The sequence below is a fragment of the Homo sapiens genome, chromosome 2 (genome assembly GCF_000001405.40).
Source record: "Homo sapiens chromosome 2, GRCh38.p14 Primary Assembly".
NCBI classification, from domain to species: Eukaryota; Metazoa; Chordata; class Mammalia; order Primates; family Hominidae; genus Homo; species Homo sapiens.
The window spans coordinates 235,802,725-235,824,664 of NC_000002.12; the positions used below are offsets into that span (position 1 = coordinate 235,802,725).

A 21,940-nucleotide genomic window follows, 5' to 3' on the forward strand; every position below is an offset into this window, starting at 1 on the left:
TGATGGTGATGGTTGTGATGGTGGTGGTGATGGTTGTGGTTGTGATGATGGTTGTGGTTGTGATGGTGATGATGGTTGTGGTGGTGGTGGTGATGTTGTGGTTGTGATGATGGTTATGGTTGTGATGATGGTTGTGATGGTGATGATGCTGCTTGTGGTTGTGATGGTGATGATGGTTGTGATGGTGTGATGGTTGTGGTTGTGGTTATGATGGTTGTAATGGTGGTGATGATGGTTGTGATGATGGTTGTGGTTGTGATGGTTGTGATGGTGGTGATGGTTGTGGTTGTGATGGTGGTGATGGTTGTGATGGTGATGATGGTTGTGGTGATGGTGGTGATAGTTGTGATGGTGATGATGGTTGTGGTGATGGTGATGATGGTTGTGATGGTGATGATGATGGTTGTGGTGATGGTGATGGTCATGATGGTGATGATGGTTGTGGTTGTGGTGATGGTGATGATGGTTGTGGTGGTAGTGGTGGTGGTGGTGATGATGCATGCGGTGTAGTCTTAAGTTGAAGTTCCTGGAAATAGTAACTCCACTAGATGTCAGTGTCATCCAAGGAACAAAAAGAAGGCAAATTAATTGTGAAATCATAGCAATTAAGATATTAAATTTTTATCATGACCAGTTTTCTTCTATTTTTAAATATGTAAAATTGAATAGACTCTTCATCCCTGGCAGTTGTTGGTGATTATAGGCATAAACTGTCAAAATGTGTATTTATTTGGAAGTGTCTAGTCAGAGGACAGATGCATGATATGCAGACAATCTTAGTGAATAAAAATTCGTGCAGACTGGGATTGTAACACCCAGCTGGAGGGGCACTATCCACCTTATTTATTAGAACATCATAAAGAGGCCATAGTTAATTAAGTAATGCATGTATCATTTTTTCCAATACCATTTTACACATTTTATAAAGTACACTGTAATGCACTGCTCTGGGCTAACATTTTGTGCTCCCAGATGTTTGTTTGCATATATTCATATACAATTTTTAAACAAAAATAAATGACTTTTTTATAAAATAGTACAAATAAAATCTCTGTATTAGTCCAAATTATATGTTACATTTGCAGTAGGAATTCTACTTTACTAATCAAACACTGAGTTATATTTTATTTCACTTATTTCTTTGGAAAAAAAACAAACATTAAAAGACTGTATCCATTTAATCCCTAGTTTGGTAATATGGGTTCTTAGAGCAATTAATTTAGTTTAGCGGCCCTAGTTTACACGTGGTTAAAGTGTTTTATTAGAAAAATTTTTCAAACATACAGAAATAAACACGTGTGTACTCACCACACGCTTCATCAAATACAAGCCCTTTTCTGCTACGCTGCTACTGCAAGAAATAAGCAAATCCTAAGTAAAAGTTGCAGCTCCTTCCATGTGCCTCCAGAACACGTTTCTCCTGCCTGTCTGCCTAGGGATCAGCATTAACCTGAATTTGGTCTATATTATCTGTGTCCATGCTGTAAACTTGTTCTAGTGTGAGTCTTGAAATTATACATTACATGGCCTTGTCCATTTTCAAGCTTTATAATAACGATGTTATTTATGTGATATTTTTAAAAAGCTTACCATATAATGTTGATACCATTAAACAGAGCCAAGTGCACCCAGGAACCAAAGATTGTGAATATACATTGCCCAGCTCAGAAACTTGCCATAAAAAAATAAGGCAGCAAAATTCATAGTGCGAAGAGAACTGTTTCAATGGCATTTATTTGTTTTTGCAGAGGAGCTCCTGGGTACCTCCCCTAGTGTGTTCCAGCAGCCGTTGACTTAGCCACTGGTTGAAAGGGGGTAAACGGGCTTCTCTTTGATACAGAGGGCTCTTGGCAATGATGCGCTTGTTCCTGTAGGCAGGTAGTTAGTTGATGGGAGTGTCCTCCATGGCTTCTCTCACCACGGCAGGGGAAGTTAAACATTTTTGTAAAGAAGCAGGTGATAATTGGATTACCTTAACCTTTCTTTCCTCTGCATCGAGTGTTTGTTGGAGGCTAAGCAGTTACTATGGTGGCTTGCTGTGCGTTGACTTAAAATCTGCAGCCCTTCTGGGTGTGATCTGCTGCTGTTCCATTTCTGGCAGTGTGCAGCAGGCTGTATGCAGGGCAGGGTCACTCCTGGCAGACGCCGTGGGTGCTGAGGGCTGCCTTGTGTCTGATGATTCCTCGGATCCATTCCAGCATCACGGAAGGATGTGCCATTAGTGATGAGGTCTCCCAAGTTAGCAGAGAAAGGAAACCTTACTGGGAATTTGTATATGCTGGGGTGTCTATGTCCATTGGATTTGATTTAGTCTGGTTGTTGGATTTAAATTTTATGGATACAGCCTGATGTAGACAAACTAATTGTGGGGCTGAGGTACAGCAAACTCTTTTGCCTAACATCTTGCCACTGTTCTTTCCCGAAATTTTAGTTTTTTGACTGTCTCCGGCAAATTGTTAAAGTTGTCAGGAAATTTTTGTTTTATTTTTGCAATGAAGTCTTACCGAAGTTTCAGTCTCTTTTATCTCAGAGTGTGTGATCAGATATTGAGTTTGGTGGTTCACAGTTCATGTTCTAAGGTGTTTACAGCAGGGCAATGAGCTATTTCTTCCCATTTCAAGTGGAATCTGAAATTCTGCTCTGAGAATGGATTGGCTGGGGGGACAGATGAGCTGCCTTGTTACAGGAAGATGTTAATTTTTTTAAAGTTTGTTTTGTTAATTATTCTGGTTTAATTAACCAGAATAATGAAGATGGATTTCCAAATTTAGAAATTTAGAATTTGTAAAATTCCCAAAGTACTCTTAAATATTTTTTGTTAATTAAAAAAAAATTTTTTTAATGTTATCACTGTGTGCTTTGAAATTCATTTTAAAACTAGGAACCTCAGGAGCCAGCTTTTCTCATCAACTGTGATGTGGAGAAAAGAATTTAAGGCTATTGTGTAGCTCTTACTATACAGTATTAAGAATTAATTAAAAAGAAAAATGAGCCCTTGACAAAGAATTGATAAATATCTCTATTTTCCTTCTAGCCCAAAGGGTTAACCTTACGTTTTATATTCTTCTGCAACTTCATATTTGTTGCTTGATTTATTCCCTGTCATCTCATTCTAGGCATCCACCAACCTAAGGGGGAAACAAGTGCACAGTGCTTGGCACGTAGTAGGTGTTCAATAAGCATCAGCTCTTATCACCATCTGAGAAGCATGTTTCCTAATGAGCACAGCTGCCCAGGAGAGTAGCACCCTTTGAAGTGCTAGATCTGAGTTTCCATCATGGGAACTGTTCTCCTTGTCCTCCTCCTTAATTTGGTAGCAGCCTCTTCTGGAATCCTAAATGCGTCCCATCAGCCCTTGTTTGTATTATGACCCATGACATTGCCCCTTTAATATGTATGTTTTTTAAATCAGCTGTTCCAGCTCACATCCCTTTGAACCTGGATTCCATTAGCTTTTCATTGTAGCAGTGGACACCACAAAGTCTGTTCATTTCATATATCATCTCAGATTTGAAAAGCACGTGAAAATGTTTCTCCATTTTCAATATTGTGTGAGTAATGTTCCCATTGAAAAGTAATGGAGTGAAGTTGTCACTTGTCAGCACAGTTATTAAGGAGGACGAGTCTCCAATCTTTCTCTCATAATAAAATAAATCTGTCAGAAAATCATTGTGCTCACACTTTCTCATGCCATCGAGAGAGGAGACTGAGACGATGGAGCTCCTTCAGTTTTACCCAAGTCAAGGTGCGCTTTTGGTTGGGGCTTCCCTGGGTTAAAGGTCACCACCCTTCCTGCCCGGTGGCAGCCACTCGTCGTCCGCAGCACGTCAGCAGTGCATCGGAGATAATTGACTCAGGACCTTGTCAAATAAAGCTGTTCATTATTTCCCAAATACTGACCTTTCGTCCAAAGGCGATTATCAGGGGTTTTTTTTCCCCTTCATTATTTTTTGTGGTATTGTCCACTAGCTTAACTTCGAATTTGCCATTTTCCAACCATCCAGAAGCAAAAACGGAAAATGTTAACAGCACCTTGATACTAATCAAGAGTGTGCCGTTAAATCGCACAGCTGACTAGTCAACAGAATTTTAAAATCATTCAAACATTAATTAAATACATATGTTGATGTAGTAGATTTTCCAAATAAACATTGAGCAGCCCCTTTTTTCCTCGGCTGTGTGAACTGCAGCTTTCAAGTGTTTTTCTGTTGGGCGTTACTTTCCCATATGGCCCATTGGTTTCTAGTAGTTGAATTTTGAACTTTTTAAAAAAGAATTAAAAGATAATTCTGTGGTGGAAAAGTCAGGGGGAAAGTTTAGATGATTCTCTTTAAAAATGATGAGTCAGTGGAGATGAACTACTGAGCTGTCTGCTCGTCGGACGTGTCTGTGCGCACACATAGATCGCGCATGTTTTCTAAATGTGTATTGGCAGGAATTCTGCAAACAGGGGCAGAGCCCCGTCTGTGAACCACAGCCCTTACCCAGATGCCAACTTTCCTTTTGCTTTGCAGTCTCGGAAAGGGAGCGACCCAGACAAAGAGAAGAAAGGCCTGGAGAGTCGTGCGGACAGCATTGGGAGCGGCCGAGCCATCCCAATTAAACAGGTGAGCAGCCTCCCCATCCTTCCCTCCCTGTCGCCGGAGATACACCTCAGGTCTTCCTGGAGATGATGCTGGCTCTCGCACCAAGGTCTGTCTGATGTGCTCTGTTGATGAATGTAGAAGTCTCTCACTTGACATCAATTAGCAGAGTTCCTGTGTGTATTCAAATGGGATCATTAGAATGAGAAGAGGGAACGGAGACAACAGACCTAATGAAGTGCGGGCTGCCCGCCTGCATATGGAGTGCGTTTCCAGGCTGAGAGCTTTCAAAGGCTGCCTTTGTAGCACGGCTTTGATTGGGCCGCGGGCCGCCGGGCAACAGGGGTAACTCAGATCGCCTACAAGAGCCCCTTGTGATCACAGGAACAGCCCGACGTGGCCCTAATTTGCTCTCACAGACGGACATCTGAACACTGTTTCAGGCTGGTTTGTAACAACGAGGCAATTAGTTGTGATAATCATAGCCGGTGTGTCAGCTGTGCGCTCTTGTTTGTAATTTGCTAATGAAGGAATTGTAACTTTGATTAGGTTCGGTTTCATTTAGACCTTATTATATAAAGGAACATTTACAGCTGTAATGTGGGGCCTTAATTAAACTTTCTCATTACACAACAGGACTTGAATTCAACCATTTGTTTTGGCCTATGTTGCTAGCCTGGAACAGGGTTTCATTAGCCCAGAAACCAGATTCTAAATCACTTTATATCTCCAATAAGAAAAAAAAAAAACCCTGGAGTCCACGTGTGACGTAGATTGTGGTTTGATTTCCAAGGAGAATAAAAATAGAGTTCAACCCCACACAGTGGCTTCTGAAATGTCATCTTTTGGTTTGTTAAAGAAAGCCAATTGATTTAGAGTGCATCCTTCTTGAGCAGAAGCCTCTGTGGGCAGGAGAATGGCTCCGCCTCTCAGGCACAGGGCTTGTGACCGGTGTGCACCTCCGGTCCAGCTCACTGCTTTGCTCTCCTCTCTCCTGCGGGCACCTACACAGCATCGGTAATCCCTTAGGAACTGTGTAGGCACTGGCTGCCCTTAAAAAGGGGAGAGTCTTTCCACACATGGAGTTGGATTATTCTGGTGGTGCAGGTTTCGTCCATTTGAAGCAAATAGGAACGCAGCCTTAGAGAGGGGCCAGCCAGTGTCAGCGTGAAGATGTGGGAGAGGAAGGGGTTAAATAGGGCCACAGCATCTTGGGTGAGACCAGAGGAGGGAGTCCACAGAGTTTCCCAAGGAGCCCAGGAACTACTGCAAAAACCACACCTCTGCCCACAGCGTAACCGACCCTGCCCGGGAGCAAGCTTTCTCCTTCCGTGCTCACAGGGCACGCCTTTGCCAGGCAGAGAAGAAGGAGGCCTGCAGGTCATCACCAAGGCCCTCAGGCATCTATGTAAGATACATGATCATCTACTGGGCCGCAAATATATGGATTGGCCCGGGGCACCTTTAGGAGAAATTCTCTTCCCTCCATATATTCAAAGACAACAACAACAGAACTTTCCACTTTGATGATGGGTGGTGTTTTCACTATAAAACACTTCAGAGGTCCGTGCACATAGTTGCTTATTCTTTCTTGGTGCCTTTATTTATAACCTAACTCTGCATAAGCTAATGTTACTGTGTAATTTTTATGCCACTGATACCTTTTTCAACTGGAATTATAAAAATCAGTTATAAAAATAATTCTTTTTCATAAACTGGTACCAGGACATTTCCTTTGGGGAATATTAAAACTTAATAATAGACTGTTTTCTTAATGCCTGTCTGTGGTTGATTTGGGTGATTTGGGTGGGAGCGCTCACCAGCCTGGCGGGAGTCCCTCTGTGCGAGCCAGGTGGGCCCCCGGTATAATTGGAACCTTCATTCAATTTGTACCTGCTCATCTGTGGAGGGGGCTAGCTTTGCAGGCTAGCTTTTCAATATGTGTGCAGATTGGAACTGACCATCAAGCGTAAAATGAGTATTATCCAGTCCTTGGATGCCTTTCGATTGTGAATGTTCAAAGGAATCTCGTTGAAATCTAAATCATGGTCTGATTTCCCGGTGACTCCTGGGCACAGGGAGCTCCTTGTCCCTCCTAATTGTCCCCCTCTTGCAGCCACAGACAGCTCCCTCCTCACATCCACACCTGTCCCAGCAAAGTGCCCCCGTGGCCAGCTCTCCAGGCCTCGGGTGCCTCGTCTGTAAAATGGGGAACTGGATGATGTCTGAAGCCCTTGAAGCAGTTAGATGTGGAGGTTCCACAGAGAATTTTTAAATGTTAGCAAAACTGGATTTTTAAATCGGGGCACCCTTGTCAAAGCCTCTCTGTGCATCGGACGGATTGATGTGGGTTTGCAGACGGTTGTATCGATCTATCTCACATCCCTGTGTGTACCCTTGTTTCTAAAGGAACATAGATCACTTCAGGTAGCCTGAATTCCTGACCTTCCTGGTGTGATGACTTCAGTGTGGAAATGAAATGAGAGGATTGCAGGGGATGGAGCCTGATGGCCATATTCTAGAAACTCAACCAAATTATTTGTTGAATAAATGAACAATTAAATGAGTGCTTATTATGTAAGTGCTGTTCATACAAGATCCCACTTAATCCTCGACATTGCCACAGTTATGGTAGCTGTGTTCTCCTTATTTTAAACACAGAGATAGGGAGGGCCCTATACCAGGCAGCTAGGAAGTAGGTCCAAGGATTCGGACCAGGCCTCTCTGCCCCTATGTCTGCGCTCTCTCCACTGCCCATTGATGAAAAGCCTTCAGAAAGCTTAGGAAGCAAAGTTACATGTTTTAAATTAAGTAAGTGAACCACGACCTGAGACAAAAATATCTTACGACTGTATAAAGAAACTTCTGAGACTGCCTGCAGCAACATATTTCTCCAGGGATAACACAGCCCTGCTCAGCCATTCTCCGGGTGGGAGGCGTCATTCCATTCCCATCCTTACCGTGTTTGCCGCAAACATGTTCTCTGCTCTTGTCACTTGCTGCAGAGAACTGTGTCTTAATGCTCAGCCCATGTGAAAGACTCGGGTCTGCATGATCGAAGCCTCACACACCAGCTAATGGACCTTTGCCTAATGGCAGAGGAGTCGTTTTAGAACCCCAGCAACCTGCGTGGAGTTGCTAATGCAGACTCTTCTTTCCCCCAGCAGGAGTCTTGTAATGGATGGTTTAGGATCCAGGCAAGGCAGCCTTCAACACTCTCTGCAATCTAACCCCAGAGTTTACAGATAGTACGTGTCGCAGTGGCTTATGTTAACCCCCTTTCACTTCCATCTGATACCTCGTTCGCTGTAAGCATCCAGGCTCCCCCCACCTCAGTGTGGGAGCTTGCCAAATCATGATGGTCAATGACGTTGTCTCTTTCTTCTTTCTCCCGATTAAAGATTCCCCATCAAGAATATGACTTATTTTCTGGACTATAACTTCATTTCTTGTGGACCTGGGTCTACTTCTCCTTTGGTGTCCTTTCTGGGGTCTTGGAGGAGGTTGGTTCAGAGAATTCGGTTTCTTTTTTTTTTTTTTTTTTTTTACTAATAAGGTCTATTCGAGTAAAAATTAAGAAGCAAAGCAAGAAAAAGCCAGAGGCCCGGCTCAGCGGCAAGTGGGTTTGTCACGTATTAATTTTTCATTGCTGTGGAGAGTTGTACATACATAATCACTTGATTGCAGTGGGAGTTAGGGAGCTCCTATGGTGCCATTTGCATAAATCTTGTTAAGTCAATGGCAGTTAATGAAGTACAAATGAGCCCGGAGAAGGTGACATGCAAATCGTGGGTGGCAGATGGGAGGTCTGTTTGGGGGACAGCAGCTGTGTGCTCTCCTTTCTTTCTTTCTCTTTAGCATTTTTTAATCTCTATATTTGAGTACAGATACACAGTCATACGCCTTGGCCTCCTCCGTGCCCTTCGCAGAGCCCCGGCCAGAGAACCTGTCCATCCCCTCCTGCCTCTGATGTCCAGGCTGCATAAACCGTTCAAGACTTGCCTTGTACTTGGTAGCGTACGCTAGAAGGATTTGAATTTTTTGAAAATCATGCTCAGTTTATCTCATCGTGCTTACGCAATTGAAAGCGTATCATTTTTACTTGGTGGGGACACACAGAACCTCCTCACTACATCTTTTGAGACGTTGTGTTGTCTCCTGAGGTTTCAGAGAATAAAAAAGAATAGAAGATACCATCTTTGCCTTATCATGCTTCCATTTGGGAGTCTTTTCTTCCTTTTTCAGACAGGCCAACTGTATTTACTGATTATTCCCCGTCCCTGGTTCGTGGTTGGACCATCAGGGGATTGGCATTCCTAGGGTTAGTCAGGAATGAGAAATACAGAAAGTGTGCGGGGCATGCTCTGTACCTCAGGCCATGGGGACGACCGCTCCCTGTCATGCAGACCCCTCAGAGGGGCCGCCCCCGGCCCGGCCCAGCTCTGGCCAGGGTGTCTCACGCTCTTGGTTTTGTGTTTAAGGATTTAAGTGCTAGCAGGACTCACAGAGAGCTCTTAGAGATTCATGGGAAAAACATTGCCTACGACTTTCAGAAGTTTTGTGTTTATTTGATCACCTGGCTGATGTTTTGAGAGAACCAGGTCTCTGCTTGCCTTGAAGAAAGGTAGGCAAAGACGTGTGCATCAGGAGGCAACAGCCCTGTTGACAGCTGCGGTGGTCACATGCTGGGGATCCTTTTCTTGCAGGCCACCCACTCTGGTCCGTCCTCTGCGATGCCCGCCAAGGTGCTGTTTCTCAGTTCTTTGGGCTGCAGGGCGCTGCGGGGGACCCTCCATCAGGCACGCTCCCTTTTGTGATGCTCGGTGGATGCACCAAAGGAGCAACATCCCTCAAAAAAACTTTTTTTTTTTAAGTCTTCATTTTGACCTTGAACCCTGATGTCATGGCCACCTCCAGGGAGTCAGCTGTGAGAGCAGTCATTTCCCAGCAGCCATCTGAAGCCGTGGGAAAAGCCTTCCCAAGCTGTCAGAGGAAGAGCCGGCCTGCCCGGGGCAAGCCCGCCGCACCCGCCATCGGGCCTGTGAACTGTTTTGAAGCTGTGCGTGTTTTGATTCTCAGTTGAGTAGAAAGAGGCAATTGTCAATTAAGTGAAAGGAACCTCTGGAGTTAATCCCCTCGTCCAGCCTGCCGCAGGCCACCGACCTGTGTTGTCTGGTACCTGGGATCAACACGAGGGGTGTATTGTGTGGCATGGGCAGAATGAAAGCAGCCTAATGACGCCAGCGTTAACAGCTCCTGAAACTTTGACACTGCTCACAGCGAGTTGGTTGACTGCTTCACCGGCGTGTGCTGCTTTCATGGAGGAAACAAATGTGAAGACCACGCTGAAACTTGATAGAGATCGGAGGAGATGGAGAGGAATGGCAGTGCCCTTCCTTCAGGGGCATGGAGAGAGGAGCTCCACAGGCCTGCGGCCTCTCTGCGTAGGCAGAGGTTTACAGGAGGACGGCTCACGTTTATTAAGCCCCACCATTGAGGAACCAAGGTGAGCGAGAGGCCCGCCGAGCGTACGATGTCCACCCACGTGGCAAATCAGCTCTGCCTGGGCGTAGGGGCCCGTTTTGCTCCCCAGAAGCAGATAATTTACAGAGTGAACTGCCGTGCCCTGCAAGCTAATTGACCTCACTTGGGTGAACAACTCCCTGAGAGTCTTATATTCAGCCCGGTTCACAACAGACCCAGCCCAGTTACGATGATTAATGTAATAGCCAGGCAGGTGTATCAGTGCTTTTACTTTGACTCCTCAAATCTCATACTGTCATTGCCAGAACAGTCCAGAATATCTGGAGGCCTACACGTGAAATGACAGTCATCCGTCTTTGAGTATATCGGGCACACCCTCCCCTACATCCCCGCCCTTTTGGCAATGTTGGTGGGTGACAATATGTTCCTCACAAGATGTGCAGAATGTTTATTTGGAATTACTTTACCCAAAGCACAAAATCCATCATTTATATGCAAATCTGCAAAGCAATCGAAAAGAATACTTCCCTTGGCCGTGAGGGTTGCATGAGGGTGACAGGAAGTAGTGTAGCCCTAGGTGCATCATACACGACCAACTGCCATGCTAACAGAATGGCGTTTCCAAGAACGGAAGTTCGTTTTAAGACTCAGTGTGTCCTCTGTGTATCCATTGTCCAGAGCTGGTGAAACAGGAAAAGTTCCTTTATCTCCCTCGCAGGGCATGTGATGGGCTGTGGCTCACTTCTTCGGTGTCCCGCAGCTCAGACCCCTAGGGGGGCGGGCAGGCAGTCAGGCGGGTTGTGGGGAGCATGGGCTCCGATCCCACAGCATGGTCTAGGGCTGGGCGTTGACAGCTCCTGAAGCCCCAGTGGGCGTGTGTTACAGTGTGCTTTTCGGTTTGGCTGTCCACAGGCAGCCTGTGACCATCAGCTCAGTTAGTCCCTCTGCCTTATTGCAAGGACAGAGGGTTTCTGTATCCCAGGGTTCTTGCCTTAGTGTACTGGAAGAATTGGATCACACGTCAGCTTGGAGAATGAGTGCAACGTTTAATGAGTGGTGCCAGTAGTTCTCAGCAGATGGATGGTAGCCAGAAGGGCGATGGAGTGGGAAGGTGGTCTTACCCTGGAGTCGGGCCACTCAGTGGCCGGACTCTCCTCCTACCGCCCCCGGGTGAATTCCACGTCACCCACATCGTTCTGCCATTGGTGGCCTGCCAGAGTCTGTTGGTGTGTTCTTCTGCCGGTGTGCTTCTCTCGACGCCCAGCCGCCTGTGTGTGTGCCCACTAGGGTCTCGGGGTTTTTATAGGCACAGGATGGGGGGAGTGGCAGGCCAGGGTGGTCTTGGAAAATGCAGTGTTTGGGCGCAAGAACTGGAATGCCTGTCCTCGCCTATGTCTGTGGGCACAGGCCCAAGGGCGGAGCTCTTGCCAGGGAGCCTGCCCTTCTCTACCCAGCACTTCCCTGCCTGCCTCCCATTTCACCGGGATAATATCTAAGTGATTTGTTTCAGCAAAATAGTGCTTATTTTCTTTAAAAGTTGAACAGTGGTGGTGAAATCCAATTCCCCTTGAGCTCAGAAATACAAGCTCTCCTACAAGTAGAGGAAAGATTCTCAAAGTTAATGTTGCCAGAACTTGTTTTTGTCTTGATGAATCAAAAAGATACTTATTTCTGGAATTATTTCTTATCAGATTTGATCAACTAGTAACAATTGTTCACTGGTCCTTGTGTGACATGCCCTGGGTCCTCTGCTACGGCTGGAGGAGGCAGAAAGTGTCTGCAGCCCCCAGGCTCAGCTCAGGTGTGTACTGACGATCCCATCCCATGACCCCCAATGCAAGTGGACGGGTGTCACGCCAAGGAGTGGTGAATTCTACTGAGTTAGACAGGAGAGGGTGAGGGAAGGACAGGGAAATGGAGGTGGGGACAATCCCACTGGACTGGGACATACAAGTAGGTGGTGGCAGAACAGGAGGGAGGCAGACAGCAGAGCTGCGGATGGAGGGGTTCAGGAGGAAGTGGGGAGGAGGGTCCTAAAGGCCCAGGGTATCTGCTTGCCAAGGACTCTGGCTGCTCTGCAGAGAAGGGTTGATTTCCCCATATTATTTGTAGGAGCAGTGGTGTTGGGGGTTTAGAGACTCATGGCCGCACGGAGTGGATCTCCCTCCCCTTCTTACTCTGTCCCCATAGGGTTTGAGATGATGGGGGTTCTGATGTACCAGAGTCTTGGCGGTAACCAGCGTTTATTGACCACTTTTCCGAGTGCCCTGTCCTAGAGCTTTCCACTGCTGTCCCCCTTACCTAGGAAGTGCCACGCTCCCCTTTCCCATATGAGAACATTAAGGCTTGGGGAGACAGTGGGGCGTGCCCAGCAGCCCCACACAGCGCATGAGTCCCCAGGGCTGCCCTAATGAAATCCTGCAGCCTGGGCGGCTTAAACAGCACAAGTTGATCTCTCGGTTCTAGAGGCTGGAGGTCCAAGACAAGGCCCAGCAGAGCCTGTTTCTGGAGAGCCCTCTCCTTGGCTTGAGCCTGTTGCCTTCTTGCTGTGTCCTCCCGTGGCCTGGACTCCATGTGCACACGCCTGGTGTCTCTTTTTCTTATAATGATGCCAGTCCCATTGAATCAGGGTCCCATCTGTACGTCATTTAACCTTGTCTCCAAATACAGTCCCACTGCGGGTGAGGGCTTCAACATGCAAATTTTGGGGGGACGTATTTCATCCTGTAACACACAGCTGGGTAGTAGCAGAGCTGGGACGGGAGCTGAGCTCTGTGTGACCGAGAGCCATCTGCCATGTTCTTTCCATCTGGAATGTCCTAGCTTAGGCCTTCCTGGTCATATAAGGTAAGGCCACTTGATTTCTAACCAACATATTTGAGAATAAAAAAGAAAAACTTACTTGAAGAGGCCGCATGCGTTAGATAGGAAGCATACGAGACTCAAAGTACTCCGACTTGGGGGTTTCCATTGAAACTTTCCTAAGTTGTGGTAAACTGTTGTCATTTGAAATAAGACTGTTGCTGGAACGAATCCTTATACCAGGTGCGTAGCTCTCACTCTGTGCAGTGCGTTTTACAGCTGTTGAGGCCTTTCAGTCCCGTCCATGGGAGACCTCCTTCAGGCTGGTTTTGAAAACCAAAGCTCCCTTCCCTTGCGGAGGCAGCTCCTCAGGGCCGCGGGTAAATGTTGGGCCTGTAGCTGGGGATGTTCAGGAAGAGCCTGTGGATTGGGCAGGTGCTCACTGTCCGTCAGTTGTGTCACTGGTTGCTTTGACAGTGGCTGTGGTGTTTTGTGTTTTGGTTAATTTCTCCCAGGTATAAAAGATAGCTATATACTCACTTCATTACTGAAAGAAAGATACAGCTGGGCATAGTGGCTCACGCCGGTAATCCCAGCACTTTGGGAGGCCGAGGTGGGTGGATCGCGAGGTCAGGAGATCGAGACCATCCTGACTAACATGGTAAAACCCCCGTCTCTACTAAAAATACAAAAAATTAGCCAGGCGTGGTGGCGGGTGCCTGTAGTCCCAGCTACTTGGGAGCCTGAGGCAGGAGAATCGCATGAACCCGGGAGGCGGAGGTTGCAGCGAGCCAAGATCGCACCACTGCACTCCAGCCTGGGTGGCAGAGCGAGACTCCGTCTCAAAAAAAAAAAAAAAAAAAAGGAAAGAAAGAGCAGGAGTGCAGAGACTCCAGGTCAGACTTAGGAGGCCTTTCACCTTAAAGGTTAAAATCCCCACACGTGACAAGTAGCTCTGACTACTTCCCACAGTCTTTGGCCATTTGCAAACACTACATAGAAACAGATGTCTACCAGCTGGGTGTGGTGGCTCACGCCTGTCATGTCAGCACTTTGGGAGACCGAGGTGAGTGGATCACCTGAGGCCAGGAGTTCAAGACCAGCCTGGCCAACATAGCAAAAACCCATCTCTACTAAAAATACAAAAATTAGCTACACATGGTGGTGTGCACCTGTAATCCCACCTACCTGGGAAGCCGAGGCATGAGAATCGCTTGAACCCAGGAGACGGAGGTTGCAGTGAGCCGAGATCATGCTACTGGACTCCTTTTTTGATCTCTGTCTCAAAAAGAAGAAAAAAAAAAAGATATCTACCAAGACCAAGACTCCTAAGGAAATTGTATCATTAAAGTCTTATTTCAGTTCTGCAGTATTTATTTAACAGTTCCTGACAGCAGACTCAGTTTCTCCTCGTGTAGGAACTTGGACTGTGGAATAGGACTTCTCCCAAGCTGAGTTTTGTCCTTTGTGAATAGAGGCTTTGACAACCAAACAAGCACCTCTCCTGGCAGAGAGAAATCACTGGCTGCCAGAATTTCATGTTTTGTTTAGAAACAGCAACCGTGGAACTTATGGCACTTGGCATGGCTCTTAGACCAGACACATTTTCCCAGAAATGGTCAGGAAGGCCCAGACTGTGCACTCTGTCCCAAGACTGTCGCTGTGGTTCTCCCTCACACACCCCTATGACATGGTTCTGCTTGTTGCCTACTCCAGAGCCTTTGGCTCCACAAGTTCTAAAGAAGGTGGCGGCTTAATAAGTCTTCACAGTCCCCTTTTGAGGCTTTTCAGGAAAGTCATCAGACAATGACATTTTTATCAGATAGTTTTGAGTAGCAAAAACACTTTTTCCTCTCCTACATCTAAAAGTAAAAGAATTTACTTTTAACTGACTCACTGAAGGCCATGTTTTGAAACCAAAACACTCTTTCCTTGGTACCAAAGCTGACAGCTATAAGTAAATATATAGGAATGTAAATATTATAAAGTAGGCATAGAAGAGTTTGTTAGTTTTAGGTTGGGTGCGGTGCGTCATGCCTGTAATCCCAGCACTTTGGGAGGCCGAGGCAGGCAGATCAGTTGTGGCCAGGAGTTCAAAACCAGCCTGGCCAACATGGCGAAACCCCATCTCTACCAAAAAGACAAAAAGTAGCCGGGCACGGTGGCGCATGCCTGTAATTCCAACTACTCGGGAGCCTGAGGCAGGAGAATCGCTTGAACCCGGGACGGGGAGGTTGCAGTGGGCTGCGATCGCACCACTGCACTCCAGCCTGGGCAACAGAGTGAGACTCTGTCTCAAAAAAAAGAAGAGTTTGTTAGTTTGGGAAATATGTTCCTAGTTAGACATTGTCCATAAATTACCTAATACTATAGTTAATGTTTGCAGACTGGTGAAAACAGAAACATTTCAAAATACTATTAACATCTTAGGGCCGTCCCAAGTCTAGTCCTCCTGGTTCAATCCGATCTGCTCCCTGCAATATTTACTCCCTAACCTTTCCTTCTGCTTAAAAACTCATCAGAATCAACCACATTATTATCGTGTGAGACTTGTAATAAGAATGCTGGCAGTTACATGCCGAGTACATATTGTACATTACGTTGGTTGCTTCATCACAGGACCTCATTTAATTCTCCACCAACCTAAGATACAACTTGCTACTCTGTTCTAGACGAAGAGTTTGAGGTTCAGGGATGTTAAGGTATGAGACCGATGTTATATAGCTCCACGTGAGTGGAAGAGCTGGGATTCAAATCCAGGAGTCCTCTCTGAAACATTCTAGAAAAGCCTATGCTGTTGCATCCCCTTCCCGCCCCATGCCATCTGTGCTCACCATGACCGTCTTTTTTTTGTTTGTTTGTTTGTTTTGAGACAGTCTTGCTCTGTCACCCAGGCTAGAGTGCAATGGCATGATCTCAGCTCACTGCAACCTCTGTCACCCAGATTCAAGCTATTCTTCTGCCTCAGCCTCCCGAGTAGCTGGGATTACAGGCATGGGCCACCATGCCCAGCTACGTTTTGTATTTTTAGTAGTGGCAGGGTTTCACCATGTTAGTCAGGCTGGTCTCGAACTCCTGACCTCAAGCAATTCTCCTGCCTCATCCTCCTAAGTAGCTGGGATTACAGGCACATGCCACCATGCCCGACTAAGGTTTGTATTTTTAGTAGAGATGGGGTTTCACCATGTTAGGCTGTTCTCGAACTCCTGACCTTAGGTGATCCACCTGCCTCGGCCTCCCAAAGTGCTGGGATTACAGGCGTGAGCCACCATGCCCGGCCCATGGCCATCTTTTCTGTGCAAGATCAAGCATCAAGTACACAGTGTACTTTCCTGGTGGGGCACCAGCAAGGCAGGCTGTTTTACGCAGGGCTGTCCTGGAAAGTCTGTGCTGTCTGGCACCTGGATCAAGATCAGATGAGGTCCTTGAGCTCCAGTGTTCATCGGAGTCCCTGTGGGCCCAGAGGTTGCCTGAGTAGGTCAGAATCGAGTATCGGGAAATTGTATTTCTTTTCTTTTCTTTTCTTTTTTTTTTTTTTGGAGACAGAGTCTACTCTGACACCCAGGCTGAAATAAAATGGTGCAATATCTTGGCTCACTGTAACCTCTGCCTCCCGTGTTGAATTGATCCTCATAACAGCCTCCCAAGTAGTTGGGACTACAAGCACACACCACGATACCTGGCTAATTTTTTGTATTTTTAATAGAGATAGGGTTTTGCCATGTTGCCCAGGCTGGTCTCAAACTCCTGAGCTCAGGCAATCCACCCACCTCCACCTCCCAGAGTGCTGGGATTACAGGCGTGAGCCACTGCGCCTGGCAGGAGATTGTATTTCTGTGTTCTCAAGTGATGCTGATGCTGCTAATCCAGGAGCCACACTTTGAGATCCCCTTTCTAGGCACATGGAGTCACTTAGGGCTTCTTTCCTTTCCCGCCTCACAAATAGATGACTCTTTGATTCGTACCAGCCCCTTTAATCTGTGCTCGTGAAAATTTTCCTAGCCGTGAGGCCCGTGTCAGATGCCTTCTGTTCCAGGTAAACCAATGAGATGTGTGCTCTTTCCTTTTCTTTCCTCCGATGCCCGTCCGATCTTGGGATCTTGCTCTCTATCTTCCCTGTTTATAGCTATGTGCATCATTCACGCCTCCTTTCCCACGTGTTTCCGGATGGTGCACACTCCGAGACATGTTCTTTCTCCTGCGTTGTGTACACAGCAGGGAGGGTATTTGGTAGGCAGGTTGCTGGTGGTAGTAGCACTAGGTAGCATAGGTTAATTGTGTAAAATGGCTTTTTTTTTTCTTCTTTCTTTCTTTTTTTTTTTTTTTTGAGACGGAGTTTTGCTCTTGTTGCCCAGGCTGGAGTGCAATGGTGCGATCTCAGCTCACCGCAACCTCCGCCTCCCAGGTTCAAGTGATTCTTTTGCCTCAGCCTCCCGGCTAGCTGAGATTACAGGCATTCACCACCATGCCCAGCTAATTTTCTATTTTTCATAGAGATGGGGTTTCTCCATGTTCAGGCCGGTCTTCAAGTCCCAACCTCAGGTGATCTGCCTGCCTCGGCCTCCCAAAGTACTGGGAGTACAGCCACCATGCGTGGCTAAAATGTCTTTTCTTCACCAAAACAGATTTTGTTTGTTTAAAAGAATATGTTATATTGGAGAAGTTACAGTATTCATTAAATTGTATTTTCAGGAACATTATAATTTTTAAGTCAACATTCTTTAACTTTTATGTATCTAAGATAGTATGTTTAGGTTACACAGAAGTGGTCACATTTTTTTAATCTGCAAAGAAGAAAGCTTTTGCCAGTGACCCAAAATAATTTCAGAAAACTGGTTTCTTGTACAACTTTTCTACTTTTGAGTATTTATCCAGAAGAAGATTTGTTTAAATAAATGTCTTCACATACAAAATTTTGTTTATAAGGAATTCTTCAAGATTAAACCCACAAATTTTAGTAACACCGGACTGTTTTTGTAATTGCCAAGTTTTTACCATATTGTTCAGTCTCTATCAGCCACAGCCTCTGTGATTTCATTCATGCTAAAAACAAGAATGTTTATATTTTTAGTGTACATAAAAATTAATTTTATACAAATATATAAAACAGCTACACAGAAATACTAGTGGAGAGACGAGTAATGTGCCAAGTAATGATTAGGCAATGAGGAACCACGAGAAGCAGATAGCTCTGGTTGGGTGTGTTGGCCTTCCTTTGCTCATATCTAAAGTATTGGAGATTTAAGACAATATGAAATCATTGTATACTAAAATGTATCATTAACAAAGAATGATAAAATCCTACTCTAAGAAAAATAAGGAAGAGCAGAGTTGTGGAAATGCACTGCTATAGTCCTGAAACTTGACCCAGTCTTCTTGAAGGGCAATCTAACAGTCATACATGATGGACATAAGAAATTTGATTCACTTTGTCCCAGTGATCTGTCTTCTAGAAGTTTATCCTCAAGGGAATAATTCACTAGGAGAAAGGGAAAAAGACCTTTAGTGTAAAACAGTGTGTATAGCAGTTATTTATAATATTAAAATTCTGGGAGCTACAAATTTTCAACAAGCAAGAAGTTAAATTAGTAATTGCTAACTGAATAGTACCAGGATGTACAGCCATTAAAATGGCCAATTTGAATACCCTTTAGAGATAAGTGAAAGCATAAAACATAAAACTGTGTATAATAATTGGAGCATGAAAATATGTATACATGTGGCTTTAAATTGGATGAATAGGAACGCAGTAACAAGTGAACTGGGGTAGGTTTAAAGCAGAACTTCAATTTTTTTTTTTTTTTTTTTGAGACGGGGTCTCGCTCTGTCACCCAGGCTGGAGTGCAGTGGTGCGATCTTGGCTCACTGCAAGCTCTGCCTCCCGGGTTCACACCATTCTCCTGCCTCAGCCTCCCGAGTAGCCGGGACTACAGGGAACTTTAAAAATTTTAACTTCATGTTTTGAAATAATTTTAGATTTGAAAGAAATTTGCAAAAAATAATACAAAGACTCCATATACCCTTCACCCAGCTTCCTTCACTGTGGACATTTTTATATAACTAGTACAGCTATAAAAACCAGGAAATTAGTATTGGTAAGGTACTAGTAACTTATCTATAGGCCTTCTTCACATTTTACCAGTTTTTCCTGAAATGTTCTTTTTAATCTCAGGATCCAATCCAGGATCCCTCCTTTCACTTAATTGCTTTATTTATTTTGCCACTTCCACCCTGAGAAAATTCCTCAAGTCTTATGTCCATGACCTTGACACTATTTTAGGAATATTGATCAGTTACTTTGTAGAAAGCTCTTTAATTTGGATTGCCTGATGTCATCTCCTGAATAGATAGAAGATCTACATTTCTGGCAGGAAAACCACAGAAGCCTTGCACCCTTCCTGGTGCTCTGTACCAGAGGCACCTGACAGCCACCTGTCTTATTCCTGGGAACACTGACCTTGGTCACTTGGACAAGGCGAGACCTATTGGATTTCTCCCTTGAGTTCTTATTTTTCCATTTGATAAAGTTAGGGATGAATGTCTTCGGGGAGATACTTTGAGGCTGTGCTGATCATTTTTAGTGATAGACGTTGTACTCAATAATAAGTAGGTTTTATAAAATGAAAACTATTTTCTTCTGATAAATGTGTACAGTCTTAAATAAAATTTAAAGTGCTTTTTTAACTCTTCCTGTATTGGAGGGAAGGAGTAAATGAGGATGATTTTGAAACTTGTTGGTTACTTAAAGAAGACCTGGGGAAACCTAGAGGTGAGGAGGAACTGGAGAAGCCCAGGAGCGAGGAGGAGCTGGAGAAGCCCAGGGGTGAGGGGGAGATGGAGAAACTCAAGGGTGAGGAAGAGCTGGAGAAGCTCAAGGGTGAGGAAGAGCTGGAGAAGCTCAAGAATGAAGAGAAGCTGGAGCAGCTCAAGAATGAAGAGAAGCTGAAGAAGCTCAAGGGTGAGGAGGAGCTGGAGAAGCCCAAGGGTGAAGAGAAGCTGGAGAAGCTTGGGAATGGGGAGAAGCTGAAGAAGCTCAGTGGTGAAGAGGAGCTGGAGAAGCCCAAGGGTGAGGAGGAGCTGGAGAAGCTTGGGAATGGGAAGAAGCTGAAGAAGCTCAGTGGTGAAGAGGAGCTGGAGAAGCCCTGAGTGAGCCCGAGCTGGGAGTGGTGAGTGTGAGTGGACCTTCCCAGATAGATCTGGTGAGAATGGGGTGGCAGTTCTAGAACTGAACAAGAGGGGCTTCCTGGTCGTGGACCCCGACGGGTGGGCATGCGGTAGATACCCAGCACATCCGAGGGAAGGATGGATGGCTATTGATTTCCCTTCAGGCCATGCCAATATGTTTGTCAAGCAACAGATGCAATTCAAGTGCTACTGTGATCCAGGTGTGGCTCGCTGTTTAGGTAAAGAAGCTTCACAAAGGCGCTGCCACAAACCAACATGTGTTCTTTGGGTTTCATCTCGTAATTTCATTCATGAAGGTTGGGAATTCTGTTACTCAGAATCTTACCTATTTTTTCCAAGTAGTTTCTCTCAGAGAACAAAAACTATGTATAGTATGTGTGTACATATGTAAATTTATGTAACATATTAACATGTTATTATGATATGTAACATATCATTATGTATTATGTTAACAATTATAATCTATAATTCTATAGATTAACCCTAAGATTTATTTTTCCCTACCATCTTCCCATTGTTGCCCAAATAACTGAGTGCTGTCTTTCCCCACCTCCCCGTATCACCCAGGCTGGTCTCGAGCTCCTGGCCTCAAGCAAACCTCCTGCCTTATCCTCTCCGAGTAGCTGGGACTATGGGTGCGAGCCACCACGCCCAGCTCTAGAGTGCTTTTCCCTGTGCTCGCACCAGAATTACAGTGAACTGCCCAACAAACATGCTGTTTTTAAAGCTAGAAGGGACCCTCATCTTATACCTAGGGAAACTGAGTCCCAGGAAGGGTAAAGAGCTTGCTCAAGGTCCTTCCAGATGCTCTTCCAGTACCATTTCCACCACTGACACCAGCATTTTCTTATTCCTTGTGCACTTCTCAAAAAAATAGAAATAACAAGTAGTGGTTGTTTACTGTTTTGACCCAGATATTTTTATTGTATTGCGACTGGTCAGCTTTTTCTAAGTTGAATCTTTAAGCTTCATGCTGTTTTATCTGTTTTTTTAAATATGCAAGGGAATAGATAAAAAGCATTACCTTTGAAAGCATGTGGTTACTAAGAGACAACATGACCATCCTTTGTGTGTTTATGTATCTAGCAGGCTCATTGATTCCCAGCAGTCCTGTGAGGCTAGGTGGCATTCATTCCTCTGCACATTTTATAGATGAGAAAGCTGAGGCTCGCCTTGCATGATTTCCTAGAGCCTGGAAGAGGCAAAGATAAGATTCAAACCCAGGTCTGCCTATCCTAAAACCAGTGGTCTTCACATTGAAGGGCCTTATGTAGCACCGAGCTCCCAGTATGTAACTTAACTTATATATAACTTAACATTCTGTTTATGTTAAAAATTCAGGCACAGGACTACACCCAGGGACTACTGCAGAAACGTTTTCTAAATAGCGCCAACGCTGAGGGGTCTTCGATTGGTGGCACCCGTGTTCCACGGTACAGCTAGGCCTTCTGTGAGATCCCTTTCCCCTTAATACAGAAATCCTCTAAGTGTATTCGAAAGCAGTTGTTTGTAATTGGAGTATCTGGGATTGACAGTGGCTTTAATTAGTTGATTACTAGTTCTTTAAAATGTACTGTACTCACTGTGGGTCTTGCAAATTGGTAACTGGTAGCTACCAGTGTAATTAAATATTTCAGAGCACTTGGCTACAGTAGCATTGAACTGTGAAGAAATAATGTTGTACAGCCAATCAAAAAGAGATACTTGTAAACTCATTTACAGCGTCAGTGTGTGTTAGGACCATCATTGAGATGCTTATTGCAGGAGAAATTAAAGATACAATTTTGTGCTAAGAGGCAATGTAGAAATTAGTTCCCGAATTACTTGTTAATTGATTTGGTGATTCCCTCGGGTCTGCATGCTCCTTTTCCCCCTTTTTGTTGTTG

General features: G+C 45.1%; 1 protein-coding gene across 5 annotated transcripts in view; it reads left to right on the top strand.

The window, feature by feature from the left end:
- Positions 1-21,940, top strand: part of AGAP1 (ArfGAP with GTPase domain, ankyrin repeat and PH domain 1) — a 637,751-nt gene that overhangs the window by 308,682 nt on the left and 307,129 nt on the right. For all 5 annotated transcript variants that reach the window (NM_001037131.3, NM_014914.5, NM_001244888.2 and 2 more), the window contains exon 9: positions 4,515-4,607. In NM_001037131.3, coding sequence (NP_001032208.1) covers positions 4,515-4,607 — 93 coding nt within the window. The remainder of the gene's footprint in view (positions 1-4,514; positions 4,608-21,940) is intronic.